Source organism: Homo sapiens, chromosome 8 (assembly GCF_000001405.40).
Source record: "Homo sapiens chromosome 8, GRCh38.p14 Primary Assembly".
NCBI classification, from domain to species: Eukaryota; Metazoa; Chordata; class Mammalia; order Primates; family Hominidae; genus Homo; species Homo sapiens.
In genome coordinates, this window is record NC_000008.11 from 113,228,807 (window position 1) to 113,256,318 (window position 27,512).

The 27,512-nt window shown below is 33.4% G+C and overlaps 1 protein-coding gene and 1 long non-coding RNA gene across 10 annotated transcripts in view; both read right to left on the reverse strand.

Moving 5' to 3' along the window:
- Positions 1-27,512, reverse strand: part of CSMD3 (CUB and Sushi multiple domains 3) — a 1,214,012-nt gene that overhangs the window by 1,005,879 nt on the left and 180,621 nt on the right. The gene's annotated exons all lie outside the window — the stretch shown is intronic.
- LOC107986966 (uncharacterized) lies at positions 12,038-27,383 on the reverse strand. Its single transcript, XR_001746034.2, has 3 exons — positions 27,198-27,383; positions 20,781-20,993; positions 12,038-12,147 (listed from the first exon to the last, which is right to left on the reverse strand). It is a non-coding gene; the product is annotated as an uncharacterized LOC107986966 (long non-coding RNA).

Genomic DNA, 27,512 nt, shown 5'->3' on the forward strand with positions numbered 1-27,512 from the left:
TAACAAAGGGTAGGTAAATTACTTGATACTTGCTCTAGTGAGGCTGTAGAAATAACTGACGTGTATAAGGCCTCAAAGCATTTTCTTCCTACTCCATATAATTTAGTGCCCATCCATGCAAAAGTATAAGAAGATTCTCCCACCACTTAAATATCTAAGTACATAATTCACCACGTTCAAGTTCTTAATCATACCTATTCTCATCATACATGGTTCTATCTGCATTATTAATCATGTATCTCCTTACTTTAGTCTTGCATGGGGTATCTTTGAAGTGATGAAATGGGAATTATAATAGAGAATCTACAATTTGACAGACATATCAACAATTTTTCTGTTTCAATAATGTATGTGAAATTATATTGGGCATTATAGTTACATATGAAAAGCCACAGATACTCAGTACAGTGTAAAATTATGTGGTGCTGTGAAACTATCCTTTAAGTGTGTATATCTCACATGTTGTTTATAACGAACATTTTGTTCAAAGATATGTTGAAGGGATATTTCTTGTTGGTTACTTTTTAATGTTCACATATATTGTGAATTGTGGTTCTTTTTGAAAGATCAGTCACTTTGCTTAAATAAACAAGTTTCAAATTAGTTCCTTTCCATTAATGAGTAGAGTCCAATTAAAGAGAACTTTAAAAAACTTAAGTCTCTTTCACACCTTTGCCAGCAAAAAAAAAAAAAATTATATTCAGTACTTGGTATTCATTCACTTAGGAGCCCCACTATCCTAGAGACTTGGGCATATTGCCAAAGAGTAAGGCAGATGTAACCTGAGCTCACAGTTTATAAAATCGTGAATTAAGGAAATAGTAGCCACAACTTGGCAAAGTCACTGAAATTATATACAAATATAATGCTGACATAGATTTCCCTCTCTAAAACCTTGAAGGCTTTGTAAACTTGAAGTATATTACCTATGCCAACAGCCCAATTGTTCTGAAATGACACCACCCATGTTTTCTCGGCCTAAAATTTTCTGCTTCCTCCTTACTCCCAGTCTCAGATAGGTTACTTGCCCTCATCACATACTCTCTAGTGTCATATAATTTGACCTGGTAATGCTTATTTTACTTATAATTACTCTCTCTATACCTGTATTTTGGCCATTTGTCTAGACCCCATACCACGTGAAGAAAGGGCTTGTGACTGCTGTGTTTACCACTGTGTTTACCATGTCCAGTATGGAACCTGCCAGAAAGAAAAATCATCAAGAGATTGTTAAATAGAGTTAACTGTCTCCATTATAGCATGTCTGAAAGATGCTGAGATAATAGGTTCTGGGTACTTTGGTTTCTGATGTTTTAAGTTAATACATGGATAGAAATTAAGGACTAGCAAGATTGCTAGTGAAGACCTCCATTAAATAGTTTATCTCAATTGCCAGATGTTTTAAAATTGCCTTATGCAGGTGCTGGATAGACAACATAACATCTGTTGATTTAATTAGAATAAGTTTAACATCTTTGAACTTCAGTTTTTTTTCCTTGTAGAATTATGGGATTGATTGAAACACTAAGTAAATTTCCTTTCAGTTTTAGAATTCTGTAATAATTTTTATGTTGCCTTTCTGTACATAATTAAATATTCTTGTATAATACTCAAATTTTTGTACAGCTCCAGTGAGCTCTTGTCTAAGCATAGATGTCATCAGAACCAGAGAACTATTAGAGTTTACATACTTAGAGCCCAATGTCCAGAGAATTGAATTAAGGAATCTTTGAAAGTAAAAGTATAAATAGGTGATCCAAAGACCATTATACCCTCCCACTTACAGAGTACTTACTGTTTCAGTTCATTACATATTCTAAAGACAGATTTTATTTAAATGTTTAACATTACACCAAGCATCCCCTGTTATTAATGTCTTAACACTGACTCTCAGCAAGTTTGTTTCTAATTTTGCTCTTTAGTCTACTTCTAAACCCTTTTCCCATGTTGGTTTTTTATGTTTGAAAATGGATATCAGATTATCATATTTTCTATAAAATCTTCACTTATGTCCTCCAGAATAAAATTTCTCATGTAATAATACTTTTTTATATGGACATAATTTATAATAATACTAATTGTGTCCTTCAGCTTACAAATATGCCCATCACACTTGCCATTTCTGTTCATTTTCAACAATATATAAATGTCATTTAAAAACTTGAAACTAACAAATTTACATGTATCTCCTTTGTTCTATCTCAATTTTTTTTCTTTTGAATACCCACATATACACATACTTGCATGCATATATGTTCAGAATTCATGCAATACTTCTGTATTCTTCCCTTTTGATTAACATTATTTTAAAAATACTTCCTAGATTACTTATAACTATATTTTTCCCATAAATTAGACTTGATCAGTATGTAAGCTATATATTATTTAACTATTTTTCTTTATAGTTATACCTTGGTTGTCAGTTTGTGTTTTTGTTATACAGAAACAGATACTTCTGTTTCATAATTTGTTTTCTTGTATCAAATAATTAACTACTCAAGGATATTTCCTACTAGATGAAAATGTTGGGTCATGGATATATATCTTTCTAAAAGCATAACGTAAATTCAGAAGATAATAATATAGGCATAAAGTGCACTTTACTAAAATGTAGGGGCATTTAAGGGCTCACTAATACTGTTGCAAAATAGTAGCTCAAGTACACTTTTGTGGAAATATTTTTTAAAAAACAAACTAAATGAATTTTAATTTTGTTGGTTTCAACCAATGCTATAATTTATTGTGATCAATTTTAATTTTGAGTGCATTGTTAAAAAAATTATTTGTAGAGAAATTTTCTTCATTCAACTAATATTTACTGATAATCTAAGTCCTAGAGTTACAGTACAAAAAATACAAAAATACTTTTCTTCATATATTGTACTTTCTGACAGGCAGAGATAGATATTAACACATTTTATGGATAGCAAAAAGCAGTTAGAGAGTAATTCTCAAAAAATATTAGATAAATACCTTTTCCCTAAAAACAGGAGTGATATTAGAACAACTGGTATAACATGAAAAGTGAATGATCATTTAGTCATAGGCTATTAACAGTGTTTACCAGTTGACTATAAGCTCTGCCTGTATATATTTACAAATATGCATTTTAAGAGTCATTAGAAGTAATTTTTTCCCCAAAAAATGAGTAAAAATACAACACAGGGATCAAATAACTCTTTATAAGACTTTTTTTCATCATAAATTATATACAATGCAATTTAAACCACTACTTGCATCGCAATTCACAAAGAATTTATACCCTTGAAATTTTATCTCATTACTGAAAAGTTTTGAGAGGGATAAGGTTAAGGTGTGGAAGTAAATGTATTGCTGGGTACCTTCCATGTACTTTTCTCAGTATTGGCTATTTACTTGTAAAATAATGTATATTTCACAAAATTGCTTCTATAAAACTTCCTGAAAAATATTAAAGGACAAAATAATAATCACCACATTTTCACAACAGATTTAGGAAAAATAAGTTTTCAAAAATTTTTATTTTGTAATTTGATGAATGTTAAAAATGCATTCCTCTTATTTTCTCTCTTTTCCACTGTTTGGAGATGTCTTTGACTTATTCAGACCAATATTTCTCATATTTTAACGTGCACGAAAATACATTTGGGATTGTATTAAAATGTGTAATCTCACTCTGTAATTCTAAGGGGAAGCCTAATATTTTCATTGTTAATAAGTTCCATGTGATGACAATGCTGCTGGTACTATGGATTCTATTTTGAATAGCAAGTGTCAAGACAGACTGGCAATAAAAGTGAAAGCAAAAACTTTTATTTTGTAACTCTCATGTGGTTAAAAACAGTATTCATTATCAAATCAAAATCAACTTTTATAGAAGGAGTAATGTCCAGTATGTTGTAGAATAACTTTTAAGGTAATCAAATACCTTGCCTTCACTATAGCATTTGATTACCCGTAAGTGCCATTTATTGGTCCATTGGCTCTTTTATGAACTTTACTCTCATAAAAACTCAACCTAAACGAAGAAAAAAAGAGGAAACAGTCTGGTTAACTCTACTGTAAGTGTTCCTCCCACAAATGTGTTTTCAACTGCGACAGATTTAATGTTTCGTAACATTATTCTTTTATGTAGGTGGAACATTTCATTTTTATCCTTTTACTGTCTTCCCTAGTAATATTTTTAAAAGTCAGACTAAAGTTGAGTTAGACTTTGTAGGCTGAAAAAGTTAAGATATAAATTTTAACAATTGATTCTCACAATTTCTTAATTTGTTATTTCCATAATTTTTGGAAGCTTAGTTTTGCTATTTAAAAAATTAGGTATAATACCTGAAAATCAATAATAAAGTATGTTAATTAATCAATGCTAAGGTTTGAATTGAAATTATTTCCAATCGATAACTCATATTCAATTGAACTTATATGCAATTAATAATTCCTATTCAATTGATAACTGTTCATATATTTGGGCTTATATATCTCTGATTATTTCTAAACAATATCATAGTTGATGCTATTGTGTCATGCAAGTAGTGATTCTAAGATTCCTTTTAATAATGTCTTGACTGTATAATAAAAAAGTGTATTTTAAAAATACATAAAATGTTCCTAGAAATTAAAAACATGATTGTTCAGATTAAAAAATAATAAAACCTTGCATTTATAAAAAAGTAAACTAATAATTATAAAGTAGAATATTAATTATAATATGCTAATATTAATGTTAGAATATTAATTATAAAAATATTTACATGATATAATAAGAAGCTAGATATTAACTCCACTATATAGATAATTAAATGTAAACAGACTATAAACATCAATGAAAAAATAAAGACAGTCAGATAGGACAAAGAAAATCCTCAATCATAAGCTGTTTATAAGAAACACTTATATTCAAGGATTAAGAAAAGTTGAGAAGGAAAAGATAAAAAAATGCAACTTGAAAATAAAAATTAAATGCATTGTCTAATAGCAGACAATGTATATTATAAGGCAATAAGCATAATTTTTTACTAAGATTTTACTCTACTTTTAGGCTGTTAGCCACAATTTGACGGTTGCTGACAGAAGACTCCAGACTTCTGAGTTAGATAAAAAGATCAGAGTATCATCACAGCAGTAGCAGTAGCCAGAATTTCCACATTTTCATATTGACAGCTGCACATACAGTAGGTTCTATTACTACAGTAGATCTTTCCAAGCTAAGGGAACCTGATACCTTTATAATAGGCACAAGCACACATTCCCTTTGCCCCAGAGGAAGGCTATCTTCCAAAGTCTGTTACTACAAAAAATATCCTTGGAAAGATAGTTCCGAATAAAGGCAGTCAATGTTGTTGCTCAGAAGACATGCAGAAATGTGAAAAATTCATAGAGAATCTTCTTCCAATATTATCCACCCCTCATTTTCACATCTTGGCTCCTGGAAATTTTTCCCATGAATACATTGTCAAATTAATCACCAGTTAAATTAATCTTACTGACAGACACTGGCATCGAATCTTTCCAGTTTGTCTCATATAGAATTTACTTAAGCAGCTAACAACATGACTCAAAGCAGAATGATGATGTCAGCCTGCACAATAGATATCAACCCATGCCCTTTAGAAGCCCAGACTTAACCAGCTGAACAAAATTCCTTAAACGTTATGACCTTAGAAAGGAAGCTAAGTGCCAGTCTCTATAAGTTTCTGCATTGACATTTCTGCTAGGCTGGAAACATTAATTCAAGCAGAGCAAGATGTATTCATGATTACATAGCTTCTACTAGAACACAAGGAAGAATTCTAGGGCAATTCTACCACTTATAACAACCTTGGCCAATAATTTTCAGGCTGACCTGAATGCTTTTCAATTTCAGGATGATGTTTCTTTTAATAACTTGAAGATACCTTATGACCACCACTAGAAGGCAAGTCATTATCATTTGGTTAGGAAGCAAGTAATGCCTGAGTTCATACAAGTTCAGTCTCTGGGGATGCAAATGGTGTATCTATGGAATGAAAATGTTGACTCCAGTGTGACCTCAAGTTCAGCTAACACGTGTGACGATTTTCTGTCAGCTTAAAGAAACTGGGTTTCTGGGTTTTCTGGGTCTGATTCTTTTTTTAAGGAGAAATGCCTGGAGCCAAACTAAATGGTTCGACCATGCCACCAGCCAGGTGGTATTCATCTGCTCTATGGAGCGTCTAGGCAGAGAATGTATAAATGGGGTGGAAAATATATCCAGACGTGTTGACAGATGTTTTTCATGGGAGGTGCAGGAGCTGGGGACATTTCCTGCTGTTTTTGACTGACTTATCTCTACATTTAAGCGGACTTTCAAATTGTGGTGAAAGTCTTCGGCAGGGAATAGTAGATACAGCAGTCATTTAAATTAACACACTAGTAATGTTTAGTAGAGATGCATTTAGGCATGTTTCCTTCATGAAGAAAGCTCTAGGAACAGTTTAGAAAGAGAAAGACCACTAATGTCCCTCCCTACCTTCCTGTACCTGGTGGAAACTAAGTTATTTTCTCACCAGGTTCTGCATTACTGCTCTCTCTCCGCTACCTCAAAAATAGTGCACCCCATTCCAATAGCCATAACTTCATCTTTTCACCAATATTCCATAGTCATAGCCAGACCTTTTACACAGAGTCAGGTATAAGAATAATTTTTAAAAACTTACAAGGACATATTGTGTCCCCCACTTTGACCTGTATGGGCCACAGTAGGAAAAAATAGCAAGCAGTAAATTCAACTAAATGGTAATGGGCATTATGATCTAGGATGATATCTGTGATGGTTAATTTTAGGTGCAAACTTGATTGGATTAAGGAAGACAGAGAGAGCTGGTAAAGCATTACTTCTGAGTGTATGTGTGAGTGTGGTTCCAGAGGAGACTGGCATGTGAATTGGTAGATTGAATGGGGAAAATCTGCTGTCAAGGTAGGCAGCACCATCCAATTGAGTCAGGATAAATAAGGTTAGGAGGCCAAACTGGCTTGTCCCCTTGTGTGAAGCCCAGCAGGCTCTGCATCCCTTGCACCCTCATGCATGACCACCCAATTTTTTGCAAGGTTAGTAACCCTACAGGAAGGATACCGGCAGACAGCCAGATGGTTACAGGTCCCTGATACCCAGTATGGCCCAGGAAAGAACAAAAGCCCCTTATTCCTGATGTAACTTCCCCAATCACCAGTCCATCAGCACTAAAAGCCAAAGAAGGTATTAGCTACAAATTCCAACATTTGGGGGCTAGAGACTTCCCTGGGGTCCCACATGCACAGCTAGGCTCAAGGTTTAGCTTATAGTAAGCTTTTCCTCATTTGAATAGTAAAAAACACACCACTAGGTGGAGATTTTATATGCTAATGATACATATGTTACATGTTAGAGCATGTAGATGCCGAGCACATGTTCCAACTGCAGGTCCGCCTTTGCATACTTGACCTTGCCAGTATTTTATGAATATGTATATACAGCTACCATAAAAAGAGATTCCCCTTAAGGCACTAGCTGCTGTCTCTCCCTTTGAGCAGCCCACTCTTGCCTCTCAGAGTGTACTTTTGCTTTGCAGTAAACTTCTTTGCTTACTCTTACTTTGGACTTGCTCTCAAATTCTTAGGTGCAGCAAAGTCAAGAACCTGAACTGGCCTACCAGCAGCACAATAAGCTGCGGGGCTGAATAGAACAGAATGGCAGGGAAAAGACAATTTCCACTCTATAGTGCTCTCTGTCTCTCTCTATCTCTCTCTCCTGTTGATGTAACACCCTTTTTTTTTCCTGCCCTTGGACATTAGAACTCCAGTCTCTTCAGTCTTTGGACTCCAGGACTTAGACTAGGGGCTCTCCAGGTTCTCAGGCCTCTGGCCTCAGACTGAGAATTACATCATTGGCTTCCCTGGTTCTGAGACTTTTATACTTGGACTGAGACACACAATCAGCATCCCAGCTTGCAGACAGCCTGTTGTGGGACTTCTCACCCTCTATAATAGTGTGAGCCAATTCCTCTAATAACCGCCTCTCATCTATCTATCTATCTATCTCTCTATCTATCTATCTACCTACCTATTCAACTATCTATCTATTTTTCTATCTCCTATTGGTTCTGGCTCTGAAGAATTCTGACTATTACAATGCCAAACCAATAAGAGAACCCAGTGTGGCTGAACCAGAATATACTTGCACCTCCTAAGATTCTTTGTTCATCAGGTTAATAGAGAGTATAATAACAGGCCAGTCTGGGGTTCCCTTTAGGAGAACAAAAGAAACATCATGCTTGACAATATTCTGTGCAGAATCCCAAATATTCAAAATTGGTCTGTATATTATTCCCTCATCCCTTTTGTCCAAATCATTACCTAAGAAGTGATTAACATGAAATAACATTTTTAAGTGACTTTTACAATAAAGGATGCCTAAATGAAAATGTGCCACACAGCCAAGAACACAATATGGATTTGCTTCAAGGACCCTGATATCGGGGTGGGAATCAACTGATTGGATTCAAATAGCAACATCATAAATGAAAAATGGTCAACAGTGGTGAATTACTGCAAGTTACTGAGCAATGAGAGGACTTGAAGGGTTCACTGTAGTCAATCTACATTGGTATAATGCTCTGAAATTGGTATTCCTCACTAGGAAAGAAATGAGTGACTTTTGGCCAGACTCACATATCTGGCATTAAGTGGTAGCCTCTGTGACAGAAACAAAGCCATTTATTTTGCATACATTTTATAATGGCGGATGTATTGCCATGTCTAGTGCAGTAATGGATTTAGTTAGCAGTGATAGTAATTTGGGTGGTACAGGCATGATCAGCAGCTTGATTCCAGTTGGTCTCTAGATGAATTACTCAGATTGTTTAATTAACAGCCATTTGTTTCTACAGTTTACAGCTTCAGTCTTTAATCTGCTAGTTTGTAGTTTTCTAAGTGTCAGAGTAAACATCTAGGCTACTAACAACAGACCAATACTCAGTAAAAATATAACAATGTTTATCAAAGGGAGTTCTGGGCCGGGAGCGATAGCTCATGCCTGTAATCCCAGCACTTTGGGAGGCCGAGGTGGGCAGATCACGAGGTCAGGAGTTAGAGACCAGCCTGGCCAATATGGTGAAGCCCCGCCTCTACTAAAAGTACAAAAATTAGCCAGGTGTGATGGTGGGCACCTGTAATCCCAGCTACTGAGGAGGCCGAGGCAGGAGAATCACTTGAACCTAGGAGGTGGAGGTTGCAGTGAGCAGATATCACACCATTGCACTCCAGCCTGGGCAACAGAACAAGACTCCATCTCAAAAAAAAAAAAAAAAAAAGGTGGGGAGTACTGGCTAGAGTGATGAGAATGGCTCTGAATTATGCCTACTCAGTAGAGATACCACATTTGTTTTTAGTTCTGCATATTTGGTGGTAAGAATGAAAAGCTACATCAAACAAATACACACCATTGTAGGTTAGATAGCTGAACCATCAGTAATCTAGGTCAACCTTTTTAAGGGATACCTTATGAATGAAAGGTGCAGTGGGGCCAGCGGCTTTGCTTCATGTAATTGAGAAACTTTTCCCCAAGGGGAAAACATCCACTTTTTCATGTAAAGACAAAATTATATTGGGGTTAGACCAGTTGAATTTTGGACTATACCATTTCCATTTGACAAATTAGATAGATGGGGACTTCCTACCTTATTAGTTCTTGAGTCTCCATTGACTCATCCTGATAGGCAGTATCAGGCAGGAGAGTTGCAAAGCCTCTGTGGATCAAGTCTTCAGCTTCAGCAAAAGCCCAGTAGCAACCAAGTAGGTGCTTTGCAAGAAGAGTACAGGGAGCAGTCATATTAGTCAGATGTAGGATTCAAAAGTCTAAAGGACACTTCCAGCTCGATTTTGCGTCTTTTTGCTAGAGGCTTCAATTTGCAAAACTATGCCACACAAACTTGCAATTCAAAAGGTTCTTTAGATTTGTGGGGCCCAAGAGGTACTAGCACTTTTCTATATGTGATTCTTCCTAAGCAGGAGAATCCCCTCTGGCACTTATAGGATAGGGAAGTGTAAACATATAGCACATCAGCTCCTACTGTGATGATTAATTTTATTTGTCAACATGACTGGACCATGGGATTCCAAGATACTTGGTCAAACATTATTCTGTGTTCCTACGGAAGTTATTGAGAATGAGTGTAACACTGAAATTGATAGACCACACAAAGCAGGTTGCCCTCCCTAATGTGAGTAGGCCTCATCCAATCTGTTGAACACTCAAATATACCAAAAGTCTCACCTTCCCCCTAGTAACAGGGTATTTTTCTTGCCTGTCCGCCTTGAGCTGGGACACTACGCTTTTCCTGCCTTTGGACTCAAACTGAAACATTGGTTGCCTGTGAATAACCATCAGCTCTCATGGTTATCAGGACTTAAAACTCATATTGGAAGTGCACCACCAGGTCTCCTGGGTCTCCAGCTTGCCACCAACAGGTTGTGGGATTTGTTAGCCTCCATAATCATGTGAGCCAATTCCTTATGTTATCTTTATACATAAAGTATAAATATATAATGTATGCCTACTGCATAGAGACACCATGTCTATTTTTAATTTTGCATATTTGGTACTGAGGATGAAGAACTGCATCAGATGAACGTATGCCACTGTGATTTAGATATCTGAAACATCAGTAATCCAGGGTGAGAATTATAAAAATAAATTATATATGCAGTATGTAGTTTTATCTATCTATCTATCTATCTATCTATCTATCTATCATCTATCTTATCAGTTCTGTTTCTGTACAGAACCCAGAATATTACAGATTTTGGCATGAAGAAGTGGGCTGTTTCTGTAACAAGTATCTAAATATGTGTTAACATGGCTTTGGAAATGGGTAATGAGTAGGAGGGTGGAGAGGTTTGGAGTTTCGTGGTAGTAAAAGTCTAGACTGCTGTGAAGGGACTGTTCGTAGAAATATGAATTATTAGAGATGATTCTCATGAGGTCTCAGAAAGAAAAAACAATATTGGAGAGAAAGCCTCTATTTTCTTAGAAAATACATATATCCTCATGACCTAAATGTTGGTAGAAATCTGGATTTCAAAAACCTTTTATTTTAAATTCAGGGTTAAATTTGTTACATAGGTAAATGTGTGTCATGGGGGTTTGTTATGCAGGCTATTTCATCACCCATATATCAAGCCTAGTACTCATTAGTAATTTTTCCTGATCTTCTAGCTCCTCCCACCCTCCACCCCCGATAGGCCCCAGTGTGTGTTGTTCCCCTCTATGTGTCCATGTGTTCTCATCATTTAGCTCTCACTTATAAGTGAGAACATGCAGTATTTGTTTTTCTATTCCTGTGTTAGTTTGCTAAAGATAATGGCTTCCAGCTCCATCCATGTCCTCCTTTCAAAGGACATGCTCTCTTTTGGTTTTATTGCTTCATAGTATTCCATGGTGTACATGTACCACATTTTCTTTGTCCAGTCCATCATTGATGAGCATTTAGGTTGATTCCATGTCTTTGCTGTTGTGAACAGTGCTGCAATGAACATACATGTGCATGTATCTTTATAATAGAACAATTTCTTTTCCTTTGGGTATATACCCAGTGATGAGATTGCCAGGTCAAATAGCATTTCTGTCTCTAGGGCTCTGAGGAATTGTCCCATTGTCTTCCACAGTGGCTTAACTAATTTACACTCCTACCGAAAGTATGTAAGTATTCCTTTTTATCCACAACCTCACTAGGCTAAGATTGGTTATAGTGTAAACTTTCTATGACAACTTCTAAGTTTCTGCATCAGTAATTAATATAGTTTCACAAAAGAAAACCCATATGTTTATCTTGTTTCTGCTAATTACCTGTAAAATTGTATGTCATATGGTTGTATTATTAAACCAAATTCCTATATTTGAATATCTGTATCAAATGTAACCTCATTTATTTGTCCATATATTGCAACATGAACAGGTAATCTGATGAGGTATAATCTCACTTCAAAGAAATAGCTTTTCACTTCCAAATTATTCTTCCAAAGAAAAATGACATGTGAATTACAAAAAGCAGGTGCTCTGTAGTAAGATAAAATTTGTACTATTTATTTGGGATTAGTTTCTCTCTTTCTTTCTGGCTTCCAGTGAGTAACTCAGTTTCAATTTCTTCAAGTCTGTATGTCTTACACTGGATACTGGGGATAATAAGAAATATAATAAGGGATTATTACGGGAACAAGTTGGATAATAAATATGGTAGAAACATATTATCAAGATATTAGCTGATATTGTTTTGCTTTTTTTGCCACTTATTCCCACTTTTCTCTTTTCTTTATTCAAGTACTTTGTATTGCCTTTCAGGCTTCTAGGGCAGATGACTAGAATAATGTAAGAAATATTCTAAAATGCTGGGACATTTCTAATCTCAAATAAGAATAACAAGAAGAAAAATTATGGGGACTATGTTCATCCTCTGCAAAACCTAGAGAAAATATGAATAGAGAAAATAAATGTAGTTTTTGCTGTATCAATGGCAACAACAGCAGAAAAAATGTTATGTTCCATTCACGCCTGTGATTATGGAAGGAGATTCATACCTGATACATATTTAAGGCACCTAGCAGTGGGTCCCTGAAAAGATAAGAGAGAAATAACAATAGCTATGCCTACGTTGATCTATTTCATCACAAATATCTTTTCACAAAATGAATTGGTAGAATCTTAAATGTTCAGAAAAAAACATTATATTGAACACTAGATCATATATCTAATATATAATCATCCTGATGAGTTCTTCAAATGCTATTTGTAAATTCTATGTATTTGGATGCCTGTATTTTTTGCTGAAAAAAAAAAAAGAATGTCTCAGTACAAAAGACTTAGTTGCAAAATGGCAGTGTGGAAGTATAGTTTTTCAGAAAAGAAAACACTTTAAAATCTCTCAGTAATAGAGGTAACACCTAAAGTATTATGTATTAGAAATTCCAAGGAATGAAATGTCACTCCAAAAAGAAAAATAAAATTTGAGTGGGAAGATTCTATCTTGTCCTCTGACACACATCACTGACTTTTTCAGAAAAACATCCATACTGACACCAGAAAAGAGCTGCCTTTTTGTCCATGATAGGTCCTGATGTGCACTGAATGCTATATTTGGTGTGCAAGAAAACTGTTTATATAAAAAATTACTATATATATATATACACACACAATTTTAGACAGGTTTTATATCTATATACATATATACATATTTTACTAAGAATATTAATAGCATTATATTTTAAACATAAAATAGTTTGACTTTTTCCCAAGGTCGAGTAATGTCTTATAAAATTAAAATGAAAATACATTATTAAAAAATTTAATAAGGAACAATTATGAAAACTAAATGATGAATGCCAATAAAACAAAAAATTGTATGGTACTTGGATCTAAAGAAGTACAATATTTTAGAGCTAGTCTTGATTCTTAGGCACATATACCTACTCATGTACATTTTACCTTAATGAACAGAATAAAATATTAATACAATAAAGAGGAGCTTTTTTGGTTATTCTAAATGCTGTCAGATATCAACTTAGAGACTGAGAAGCCATTTAATGTTTTCAACTTATTGCAACCTAATAGGTCAATTCTGGACCATGTTTGTGACTTAAATGATAACACACAACTACTCACAATAATAGACTAAAATTGTTGTGGGCAGTGGCCAGAATGACTAAAGTTCACCAATCTGAAAATCATATATTATTGCTAACCCCATTGTAAAGACAAGTGATTAGATCATCATCAAACTGCAGTCCGCTTCTGCTTTGTCATGAACAAAAAATTCTTTATTGTGAAAACTCATCCTTTGGTAACAGAATGGACTTAAAGATCCTTTTTATTTTTTAATAGAAATTAATTGATTTTTGGTAACAAAGAAATGCACTTCAAGTATGCAATTTTTAAACATGAAATGTTAACATGTATATGTTTTCTTTATTCCAAGGTGTGAAATCCTACTGTGCTTGAAGTATATTTTTCTTTATTAAATTCAAAAATGGGGAAGACATTGAATATACCTAAAATATAGGTAAAGTTCTCACGATTCTCAATTAATATTTACTAACTTACTAGCTACAATATAATTTTCAGGAAAAATGAATGTAAAGGTTTCTGGCTTTCTATAAATTTAAAAAAAGTGCCAGGAATTTTCACAGCCTATTTAAAGTTATGATACTCTAGCACAAATAAATAAAAGAGAAATTGGTAAAACCTGACAATAGTTCTGCATAAATTTGAAGTTATTAAAGCAATTTTAACTTGTATCTTTTGATTTTCTTTGTTTTTAATTTCATTTGCATATTTCTTCATCTCTATTAATACAAGAAATAATATTTATGAAATATATATTAAGCTCCACTTAAAACTGAAAGAAAAAAACTGCATTTGGTGTAAAATTATTTATCCACACATTCTTTCTTTAAAAAAGAATGTCTTCATTGAGATGTACTAAACTTTGCCCTTTTAAAACACACAATTCAGTGACTGTTGGTACATTAAGGGAAATGTCACTGCTATCTAATTTCAGAAATATTTTATTTATTTTCATCAGTATATTTTATTTTAAAATATAGATTGTAGTCTTCTGTTTTCAGGTTTTCAAGGTTCGTGCATGTTGTAGCAAGTATCAGTGTGGTGTTCTTTTTGATTGCTAAATAATACTGCATTATATAAATATGTCAATTTATTTTTAATCCAGTCATCAGTTGATTGATATTCATCTTGTTTCCACATTTTGACTATTTACTAAATAGTGCTATGAGGAGCCATCATGTACAAGTTTTTGTTTGTATCCCTGTTTTCAATTTATTTGAATATATACCTATGACTAGAATTGCTAGATTATATGGTAACTCTGTGTTTAACTTTTTGAGTAACTGTCAAACTGTTTTCCAAAGTGGCTACAACAGCTTACATATCCATAAGCAATGCACAAGGATTCCAATTTCTCCAATCCTTGTCAACACTTACTATTGTGTATCTTCTTGATTTAACCAACTACTGGGTGTGAAGTAGTCTCATTGTGGTTTTGATTTGTATTTTCCCCATAACTAATGATGTTGAACATGTTTATGTGCTTATTGGTTATTTTAATATCTTTTTTGTAGAATGGGTATTGAAAACTTTGCCCATATTTAAACTGATTTATTTGTAATTTTATTTTTCGGTTGTAAGCATTCTTCATTATAGTATAGACTTGTATCTATCTCTAGTCTTGTATAGTATAGATTTGTATCTATCTTTCAAATTATGTATCTTCTCCAATACACAATTTGAAAATATTTTCTCCATTTCTATGGATTGTATTTTCACTTTCTTTTTGGTATTCTTTGTAGCACAAATGTTTTTAACTCTGATGAAATTCAAATTTCAACTTTTACTAATTCCTTGTGCTTTTGGTATCACAACAAATAAATCATCGCCTAATGCAAAGTCAAGGATATATATGACCTTTTCATTATGAGTTTTGTAATTTTAATCTTACATTTAAGTCTATGATATGGTTTACATTTTTTGTTTTGTTTTGTTTGAGACGGAGTCTCATGCTGTTGCCCAGGCTGGAGTGCAGTGGCGTGATCTTTGCTCACTGCTACCTCTGCCACCTGGGTTCAAGTGATTTTCCTGCCTCAGCCTCCTGAGTAGCTGGGATTACAGGCATGTGTCACCACGCCTGACTAATTTTTGTATTTTTAGTAGAGACGGGGTTTCACCATGTTAGTCAGGCTGGTCTCAAACTCCTGACCTCATGATCCGCCTGCCTCAGACTCCCAAAGTGTTGGGATTACAGGTGTGAGCCACCGCGCCTGGCCTACATTAATTTTTTATGGTGTCAGCAGTAATCAAACTTCATTCTTTGCCATGTGAATATTCAGTTATACCAGCAACATGTGGAAAATGATAAATTTTTCTTCATTGAGTTGTTTTGACCATAAATATAAGGGTTTATATCTGGACTGGTTTTTTTCTTGTGTTTTTGAGTGGAGTGTTCTGTGAATATATGAAGTCTAATTTGCTTATTATTTTATTCAAGTCTTCTATTTTCTCATTCATATTTTGCCTTGTTGTTCTATTCATTATTAAATATGAGGTGTTGAATTCACCAACTAATTTTGTTATATTGTTCCTGTTACCTTTCATTTATGTCAATTTTTGCTATTTGTAGTTTTAGTCTCTGTTGTTAGGTACATGCATGTTTACAATCACTGTATCTTTTATCATTAGAAAATGTCCCTCTTTGACAATTCAAACAGTTATCGTCTTAAAGCTTATTAAGTCTAATATTAGTATAGCCACTTGTTACTGTTGGCATGGCATATATAGTTTTTTCAGCTTATTTATGTATTTGAAATAAAAGTGTCTCTTTTGGATGGTATAGAGTTGGGTCATTTTAAACGTACATTCGGCCAATGTTTGCCTCTTGATTGAAATGTTGGAGTGTTTAATTAATTTATGTTCAATGTAAGTACCTATTAGTTAGCATGTGTATGCCATTTTTATATATCTTTATATGTTTTAAATCATTTTGTTCCCCTAGTATTCCACTACTGTTTTGTATTGTATTAAATATATGTCCTATTATATCATTTTAATTTCTTTTTTATTTTACTTTATATTGAGTTATTCTCTTAGAGCTTATCCTGTAGATTAAAACACATGCATTTAAAATAATTTATCTTGAATTAATACCAATTTATTTTCAGTAATATATAAAAAACTTTAATATATGCCATCTTCTCCAACCCCCTTTCTGCTGTTATTGTAATATAAATGACCTCTTCATACATTATATGCCCATTAACAGAGTTTCTTAATTAATGCTTTATGCAGTTGTTTTTAAAATCAGACAGAATATTTTACAAGTTAAATTACATTTATTTATACTGTATTTTACATTTCCTGATGTAGTTACATTTACTGTTCTCTATTTCTTTGTTTGGACTTGAGTTACTGTCTAATGTCATTTCCTTTCAATCTGAAGGATTTTCCTAGATATTTCTGTGAGAAAGATCTGCTGGTGATAAATTCTCTCAGTTTTGGCATACCTGGAAATGTATTAATTTATTCTTTATTTTTAAAATATTGTTTGCTACTATAAATTCTTGGTTGACAGTCTTTCAACCCTTTGGAAATGGCATACCACCACTTTTAACCTCCATAAGAAACCTCTCTTTATCTTATTGAAGATCCCTTATGTGTGATTAGTTGTTTTTCTTTTACTGCTTTCAAGTTTCTCTCTTTTAGACTTTTGATAATTTGTAATTTATCTGCTTGTCTCCTTGAGTTTATCTTACTTGAATTTATAGATTAAGATTCTTAATAGAATTCAGAAAGTTATTTTTTCTTATTATTTCTATTTTTTTTATCTTTTCTCTCTCCTCTTCTTCATCATAGAGTCCCGTTATGGTCCATGTTAATACACTTTATTGTGTACCACAAGTCTCTGAGGTTCTATTCAATCTTTTGTCTTTCAAGTTTCACAATGAATAATCTCAATTGACCCATTTGTATGTTTACTGATACTTTTTACTGCCAACTCAAACCTTCTGTTAATCTCATCTAGCAAATTTTTTATTTTAGTTGTTATACTTTTCAACTCTAGAATTTCTATGTGGTTCTTTTTTAAATGTATATCTTTTTATTGTTATCTAATATTCAGTGTGCAATCATTCTCGTTCTTCCACTTAATTCTTTAGATATAATTTCCTTTAGTTCTTTGAGCATATTTAAAACTTATTTAAAGTCTTTGTCTAGTAAGTCCAATATCTGTAATTTGGATATAATTTCTATTAACTACTTTTTTCCTATTATGGGCCATAGTTTCCTGTTTATTTCCATTATAACTTGCAGTTGAGAACTAGGTAAAATTATTTTACAAATGTAGCATGTTTTGTCTGAGAATTAGTGTCCCTTCCCCCAAGGGCTTCTTGTCACTGTTTGTTGTGGTGTTTGCCATTTATTTGTTCAGTTTAATTCTAAAAGTCACTCTTCCCTGATGCATGTGGTCAATTAAGTCTGCTTAATTATCTCAGTGCTTGACTAAGATTGAACGGAGATTTATTTAAATTCCTTGAACCAGTAAATCTTAGATACTTTGCTGGAGAGGTTTGTTTGTGTGCTGGGATACACATGCAATGCTCCAGCAATGTCAGACTCTGCCTTAGCTTCACTTCCTGCTGGTGGAGGACCAGAAGTAGTAAGGGTTTGGAGTTTTCTAAGGTATTCTCTGGGCATGTACACACTTTGCACATGTGTGCACTTTCTTATGTCTGTAGGATTATGTCAAAGGCTTTCAAAGTTTCCTATGTCTATCTCATTCTCCACAGGAGCTGTCTTTTGACTAGTCTCTTGTTTGTTCCAACCAGTATCAATGCCTCAGGCAGCCACTATGTTAAACAACTAACACTTATTTATTTATTGACAAATGCCCTGGAGATAAGGATCTTCCCACTGAGCAGTTCTGGCTCAGGTCAAAGAATGACCAACTTGGTATATGAGACTTTTCCAAGAAGTTGTCAGACAGATAAAATAGTGACAATTCTCTGAGGATGGGCCTTTTTGATGAGCTTCAAAGCTTGTCTTCCCCTTGCAGTGTTTTACAGCTACTGTGGTTGTGCACCTAATAGTTTTCAAGGGTACTATAGGTCCAGAAAGTAGGGCAAGTTAATTCATCACAATGTTTAGTGTTCTTAAATTATCAACCACTGAGATTTAATCACTTTTTGTGAATAAACACACCAGATTGTTGAAAGTCATTAATTTTCAGAGATCTGAAAAAATGAATTTTGACAATTTTTGCCAGTGTTCATGTTGCCTTTATGAGGAGTAGATTTCTGTAAGTACCATTTATTCATAATGTCTTGATTTGGTTGTCATAAATTTCAAAGTTACTACATAGAATTAATTGTTACCTTCCAGTTTAAAGACAGATTCTTAAACTGCTTAGCAATAACAGATTCTTAAGCAATGCATATTATGAATATACCTTCTGTTATTAATATAACTTAATTAAATCAATATTTAAGGGGGAGTGTTACAGTAGCTTATATTAATGATCACTGATGTAACTGACATATAATAAAACAGATAACAAAATTTCTACACTTGCAAATGACTGGAGTTTTCGTGAGCTAGGTCATATTATCTTTTGCATGTATTTGAAAATAGAAGATTAAGTCAACAAATAAGGCAGAACCATACTTTTAAAGAAGTTTAGAAAAACATTTATGAAGGGACCACACTGCATCTGACTCTCAAGAAATTCATAGAACAAAATGTCAGGAATCAAATTTATTCCACTGACATCAACTGGACTTGTGAAGTATCTGACTTTTTGAAAATGTGGGGTATTTTATGAGTGGTGATAATTTAATGAAGCATAAATTGTTCTTCTGAACTGGCTCTCGTTAGTAAGAGTGTTGAATACAATGGTTAAAAATAGAGATGAAGCATAATTTACCTATCTTACGTGTACCATTTTTCAAATATGAGAAAAGTAACTTAGATTAAAATTAAGGCTAATTTGTTTTAGTGTTTAAAAACTCTATTGTATATAACACATACAATAGAGATTTTAGTATATAATATACACTATAGAGATTATAGAGATTCTATTATATATAATATACATTTGGAGGAAATAATATGGAAATATATGTGTGTGTGTGATATATATGTATATATACATATATATACACACACACATATATTTCCATATTATATATATATGTATATACATATATATATATACACACACATGTGGAGGAAATAAATTGTTATATATAAATTGCCATGTATTTATTTATTTATTGACAAATGCCCTAGAGATAGGATCTTTCCACTGAGCAGTTCTGGGTCAGATCAAAGAATGACAAATTCTAAATGAGACTTTTCCAATAAGTTATTTAATTTATTTCCACCACACGTATAATACACATTCAATTTATTTCCTGCACATATATGATATACATGTGGAGGAAACAAATTGTTAAGCATAAGTATTTTAAATCTGGTATGATGTTCAAGAAACTTGAACTTTCTAAAAACAGCTTAATTTTTTTTAATGTAACGGCGATTGCTGAAACTGTCAACTTTCCTGACAATCTTATTTAGAAAAAAATGTTATTCATATGATATATTAAGTCATTGGTATGGTTTGGCTGTGTCCCCACTCAAATCTCACTTTGAATTGTAATAATCCCCACGTGTCAAGGGTAGGACCAGATAGACATAAATGAGTCATGGGGGTGGTTTCCTTCATACTGTTCTCAAGGTAGTGAATAAGTCTCACAAGATCTAATGGTCTTAATATGGGGAATTCCCCTGCACAACCTCTTTTGCCTGCCGCCATGTAAGACATGACTTTACTCCTCATTCACCTTCAGCCATGACTGTGAGGCCTCCCCAGCCATATGGAACTGTGAGTCAATTTTCTCTTTCCTTTATAAATTACCCAGCCTTGAGTGTGTCTTTATTAGCAGTGTGAGAGCAGACTAATACAGTTATAACCTATGAAAACAGTAAAATCTTGGACAGCTTAGCTTAAGAACAGTGGATATTCGGCATGGAAACATTTGAGACCCACGTTCTTCCAGAAATGTTTTATGTAGTATTGTGAAAGATGGTCCCAGAAACAAGTTTTAGATAGTAGTTACTTGCCTCCCCTTGAGTTTGAGGTATTTGTTACAACAGTTGTACATATTATAAGGAATCAATTTTTTATTGTGAATTTTTCTATTTTTAAATCAAATTTAAATAAGGTAAATAAATATATACTAGTACTTACCCATGATTTTCAGTGGTGTAAATCTGGTTGTACGTGTTTTGAATATGGCATATAATATTTTTGTTGGACAGAGCATAAAAAGAAATTCGACTGCCTTATGTCCTGAGTGAATTCTCTGAGCTCCCAAAACTGTTACATTGTTACATTATTTTCCTGTACCCTTAAATATTTAATGTGGCTACTCTTGCCATAAGTCTTTGTGAATCTTGTTTCCTGAAAAAGAAGAAGTAATCTATGGCAATAGTATTCAAGAAAAAAAAAAACAACAATTTAAAGACTTGTTTATAAGAAAGATGGACTGATGACCAACTGGGGAACAGTTCTATAAATCTATGTAAATATACAGAAACAGACTAATTGTAGAAGTGTGTATTTAGCTTAAAGATATAAGGGAAGTTAGTTGATAAACATAGAAAGTTGCTTATTCAATAAATAAACAAATAAATACAACAAATCACAGGTTCTTTTCTATGTCCTCTTTAAGTTACCAGGGGTAAAGAAGAAAACAAAACAGACACGAACAACAGTTTTCAGGATTTGCGTCAGGGGATCTAAGAGAATTGTAATTATAGGATATAATTACATCTAATCTTTTTTTACACATTTATTTGACATCCCCATCTGCCTTCCCACAACAGGTGATGGAGGTGGAAGAGGAATTCCCAAACTTGGTTTCTGCCTATTCATCAAATAAAGGAGTTCATATTATTAGAATTTAGTCCATTAAAAACAAAGAAGGCTATATTCTTGAAGATGCGTTTGTGAGAATGACACATCCTGATGTAGAAGGGAGTGTAGCTCTCTCAAGAAAGAGAGATGGAGGAAAAACAATAATTTCACACTAAGCAGACCTTGTGGGCGGTTCTAGGCCATCTTAAACATTTTTTGTTTTATTCGTGAAATAATAGGAAATATATTGATGCTTCAATATTGATTGTAGAAACAGATTTGCATTTTCAAAAGATTCCATTAGATGCAGAGCGGAGTTTGGATTTAAAAGAAAAGAGATTGTGTGTATGGAACAGGATGGAAGGAGATGGGGCCAAACAGACAATCTTGTGTCTGATGGATTAAATATGGTCAAAATGTAGAGTATACATTCAAAAGCTTGTTAGTAGGTAGACATAATTGATTGGATTCAGTAGATGAGGAACATAATAGTGTTAAAATAGATCTCTCAAATATTACAGAATTTAATGGGCTTGTTTACTGGGGTTAAAAACCAATAGAAGAGTGACTGTTGCTCACAGCGTCACAGCAGAAATTAAGAGACTGGTTTCTAGCCAGCGCGGAAGACAGCCATATTTATGAATAGAATTGGGCATTCAAAAAATAAATAAAGTGTAAATTACAGAAGTTTAAGTGGATGTGAAAATTGCCTTGCAGAAGGGTTACTAGGTAGAAATTAAGCTAAAAAGGAAAAAAAAAGTTTAAAAATGAGTACATGAAGAGTAAATACAGAGCTTTTACATACTTTATTCTTTACAAGTTATTCAGTATCTACTATGTGCAAAATGTGAATAGTAATCAATAATGAATTAGACATGCCTCCCATTTTATGAAGCTAAGCATATTTATAAACCCATATTTGGATAATTCATCATTTTTTAATAACCGGAGTCACTAGCTCATTGATTATCAATGTCTCATTCATGATAATGGAGAAACAGAGAGAAACAGTAGGAAGCACAAAGAATTTCATACATGAAAGTAAATTTAAGAGTGGATTCAAATGAAATTAATGCTCTAGGCCTCTGTTAACAGACTGTGACCTAAATCTCATACTGATCGCACAACTAAAATTCTGAAGTCCAAGGAAAATGATGAGACACAGAGATTTTTCTCCTTAATTTTAATTTATTCTTTTTTAAAGAAAGCATGGGGGATATACTATTAAAGTTAATATCACCTTCCTTATTAAGACATAAAAAATGTCTTACTTGTAATCACTAAAAGTAAAAAAAAAATCCTTAAATCTTGATTTACTTTGGGATTTCTATTGTTTAGCTGTAAGTTAAAAAATCCATTATCTAAATACTAGTTTAAATAACTTTAATCTGGTAACCAAAAATACTTCCCTTATAGAAATTGCTAGGATATATTGGGAGCATTAATTTAAACACACTAATGTTACATGTAAGTTTTTGACCCTTGAGCCAGAGACCTGCCAGGAAAATTAAAAGGTGAAAATAACCTTAGCTTTAGTGACCTGAATTCTCCATGATCTAACACTTTTCTGATTCACTTGACAGAGTTTTTATGTTTTTATACAAAAATTAAAAAGTAAATTGTATACTTTCTTAGAAATCCCATGAATTTTAAAAGTGTATACATAAATTAATTTGGGTACAGTCAGCAAATACTTCTTCAGATAAAATTTGATGTCTAACCAGCACCTATTATGCTCAAATGTTACAGTTAAAATTTTCACAGATACCATAAGTGTAATTTACTTTTTATATTTTTCATACTGCTGCTATTATACTTGAGAGAAAAATTTCCTTAAAAAATCTGTTCATCTTTCTAGAGAATACTCCTGATTTCTCAGCAAGTCTTCTACTATTTATGAATCTTTTATCTGTTAGTGATCTTCCCTTCTCTCTCTCTACATGTCAAAATCAATAATCTCCAATTTCTCCCTGATGGAATAAATACTCATAAACTATAAACCAATGTCTGGAACATTGGTTTTCACAGCTATTGTCATTCCTAAGAGATGATACTATCTATCATCTATAACAAATGATGATCCACAGAGGCTTAAAAATTGTCCAATTTTTTTTAAAGTGCATGTGAAGTTGTAATTCACTGGGGCAAAAAATGCTATATGAATGTCAACATAGTCTTCTTTAATTCTTTCAAATTTTATGTATTTTTTTTTACCGTTTTCTTCAATCTTCTCCTTTAGAAAACTTTCAGATATCTTTCTTTCTGATACAGATAGGATACTCTGCAACTAACTCAGACTCCATAGAGCAAAGTGAGAGAAACAACCTTTTTCATTTTTCCAAGTTTTTTTGCCTTCTCTCTATGGCCTTCTCTATTATGACAAATCAATTTTTTTATATCAAACTAAAAATCTTGGGAAAAGATTTTGAAAGAAAATTATTACATTTAAAACTCCATCTTTTGCTAAAATATTAAGCTGTTTAAAACTATAAATACCACATGGAGATATTCTGCAGATGGATACATGAATTTCATAAGTAGTGGGTGGACCAAATTAAGAAAGCCCAATATCTGCATTTGACACTAGATCTCTAGATCACATCAAGATATTATGGAAGCCCCACATTGCAAAGAATCAATGCTGAGAGGTAAACAGACACTAGAAAAGGCATTATTTAAGAATGAGGGCGTAAGAACACGAGTGTTCGGCTTAAGGAGATAAGACTAGGTACAGGACAGAATTTCTCCACTCAGTAGAACAGAAACTCAGTTCTCAGAACCAGAGCACAGATCAATAATATAAATTTAAAACTAAAAGAAAAGCACAGAATCCAGATAAGAGCTAAATCCATGCAATCCCACATTTCCCAAACCAGGACTGAGATTGATCCTGGACAGTACCCAAGATAGTTCAGTTTCCCTATCTACAGGGATTGGCTGGGGACATCAGGACAAGTTAGCTGACAAAAAAAAACTGACTTTTTTTTTTAATCTTTAAGTTCTAGGATACATGTGCACAATGTGCAGGTTTGTTACATATGCATACATGTGCCATGTTGGTGTGCTGCACCCATTAACTCGTCATTTACATTAGGTGTATCTCCTAATGCTATCCCTCCCTCCTCTCCCCACCCCACGACAGGCCCCGGTGTGTGATGTTCCCCTTCCTGTGTCCAAATGTTCTCATTACAAATTGACTTTTTAAATTTAAAACTGTTTTTTTTTTCTTTCTGAATTCTGCCAATTTTTCTTTCTGCTATAGCATCCCTCCACTTCATTCAACTCCTACAAGGAACCAAAACTTGGCTGGGCGTGGTGGCTCACGCTTGTAATCCCAGCACTTTGGTAGGCCGAGGCGGGCAGATAACGAGGTCAAGAGATCAAGACCATCCTGGCCAACATAGTGAAACCCCGTCTATACTAAAAACACAAAAATTAGCTGGGCATGGTGATGTGTGCTGTAAGCCCAGCTACTTGGGAGGCTGAGGCAGGAGAATCACTTGAACTAGGGAGTTGGAGGTTGCAGTGACCCGAGATCGTGCCACTGCACTGCAGTCTGGTGACAGAGTGAGACTCCGTCTGAAAAAAAAAAAAAAAGAAAAGAAAAGAAATGAAACTTATGTCCTCGCTGTGACAGTTTATGTGCCAGTACTATATCTTATCCTAACATGTAGTTACAAGATTTTTCTTCCAGATATAACATTCCACTTCAATTTTTCCCTGTGCCTGACATGACCTGTTCCTCTACAATTAGATACTATGTCTTTCCATGTTATTTACCAATCTAGACCTGCAAACATCCAAATTGACATCACTATTTAGAACACAAAAATATTTTTAGTATCCTCCGTCTGATCTGAGTGTCTATAATTTTCTCAATGTCATGCTGTACATTTTCAACGTGTCTGTGATACAGAAGCAAAAAAGAAATTTAGGCAGTTAGTGAGGATAAGAGAGTCCTTGGTAAGGTTTCCCTTCTAATGAAAATCAGCTGTGAAATCATTTCTTTGTTAACAGAAAGCAGCCTAAAAAATTGAGCTACAGATACAGATAAGCTGGAAGCGTGCATGATTGAATGTCAGCAGCTATGCCAACAGGAAAAGGCTAACCAGGGTCCAGGCGTGTTCAGCATGGAGGCTCCATCTTTCCTTTCCTTTGTCAACCACATGCACAGTAAGGAACAGACAGCATGGTACTGGCCAGGTATAGAACCCATCTGCATAATAAAAGATTAGGGTAGGGAGGCCAGCTTCTTTGCCCATTATGTAAGGCACACATGGTCCAACAAATCTTTGGAATGTATGTAAATCAGCCATCACCTCCTTAAGCTAGTCTAAGGCTATTAAATTCTACTATGAGTTTTAAGTGTGGATTTAGGTCTTACAATATTAAGTAATGGAGTCCATCATCTGTCAAAGAAGGAGAGACATAAATGAAGTTGTATATGCCTAAAATGGAGACAACTTTCTAATTTCTTTTTAAATGAAGTATATAAAAATAAAAATTGTTGGAAATTCTGGAAATTCTGTTTTATCTGAAACTTTTAATTATTTTTTTAATTCCAACAATTTAGATTATATTTATTTTCCAGAAACACACTATATTAAGGTCATCATGAATCACACTTGGCATTCATTCAGTTATTTATCTAAGTAGATATTCAACAAAAATTTATTATAACAATTGGGTGAAAGTATTATACTAATACATTTGGAAAATAATGAGTACTTAAAAAAGGTTAGATTCTAGAAAGCAAGTAAAAGAATGGAGGACAATGCTGAAAAGGCAAGGACAAGCATTTCTTATTTCTCAATTCACATACGTTCACGCATTTAAATGGAAGTACCAAGATTTATTGGACAAGAGACATGATATAGTTTTTAGTGCTCCAAATAATAAACAATAATATTACCTTAGACTATCTAAATATAAAATTGGATGTTTAAGTTCTTCAATACATATTGAAAAAGTAAAACTAGACATTGAGACTAGGTTTTGGATGCCAGCTCTGTTACTTACATATAATAAAGACTGCCCTCATTTTTGGATCTCCGATTCTTTCCTTGTTTTTAAGTTGTTTGTTTAGTTTTGTATTAAAATTATAAAATGAAAACTTTTGCTGTACTGAAAATTAAAAGGAGCATATCTGATGATATTTCTATAAGCACATCATGACAACTATGAGGAGTTAAAAATACAAAATTTTATAGAAAAATAATGACAAAACAATGCTTTTTTCAGTTTTATATTTGAGTATATTTGATTTATCATAAGCTGAAATGTTGCAACTCTGAGTTGTACTACCCTGATCACCAACTAAAACAATTATCCTCACTGTGTATTAGCCTTGAATTGTTACTTTATGGTGATGAATAATATTAGAAGTACAATGTTCAATCCTGCTAATAAAGGGTGCCAACAAATAAAAAACAGAACATATTACACATCCATAAAATATTGAAACTACTTAGATTTTGAATCTGAAAATATACTGATATTATAATTTTTAAAAAGTGTTCATATCTACTGTTTGTCTCTAAGTGTATTTCCTATAATATTTAACTATAATAATATATAGTAATTAGTTTATAAATTAACAGTGAACCGTTTTACATCCCTTGATTTTATACTTTTGCTATTATTTTACAGTGTCAATAACAAATTAAAGGAGAAATAAAGTAATTATACATAGACTGTGTCATTATTTAAGCCTCCAATTCTTTGTCTAACATGAATGAAAATACTTACAATTTTCTATAGTAAGTACATATATCAGAAGATGCATTTACTCAAATGAAGAGAAATGTGCTACATGAGGATCCTACATGCTGGTAGTGAATCCAGGGACAAAGAGATTTCATGAGAAGCAACAGCAGAAAGAAAAAAAAAGCAAATGTAAAAATTTAATCTTAAGATTATGAAATTAATCTCTGGTTGTGTTGATAAATATCATATTTATAAAACAAGTCCATGCCCATTAAGAAGTCATTAGATAATATAGTTCAAATCTAAGCTGTTTGTTTTCTTTAAAATATATAAAACACTTAAGATACATTTTAAAAA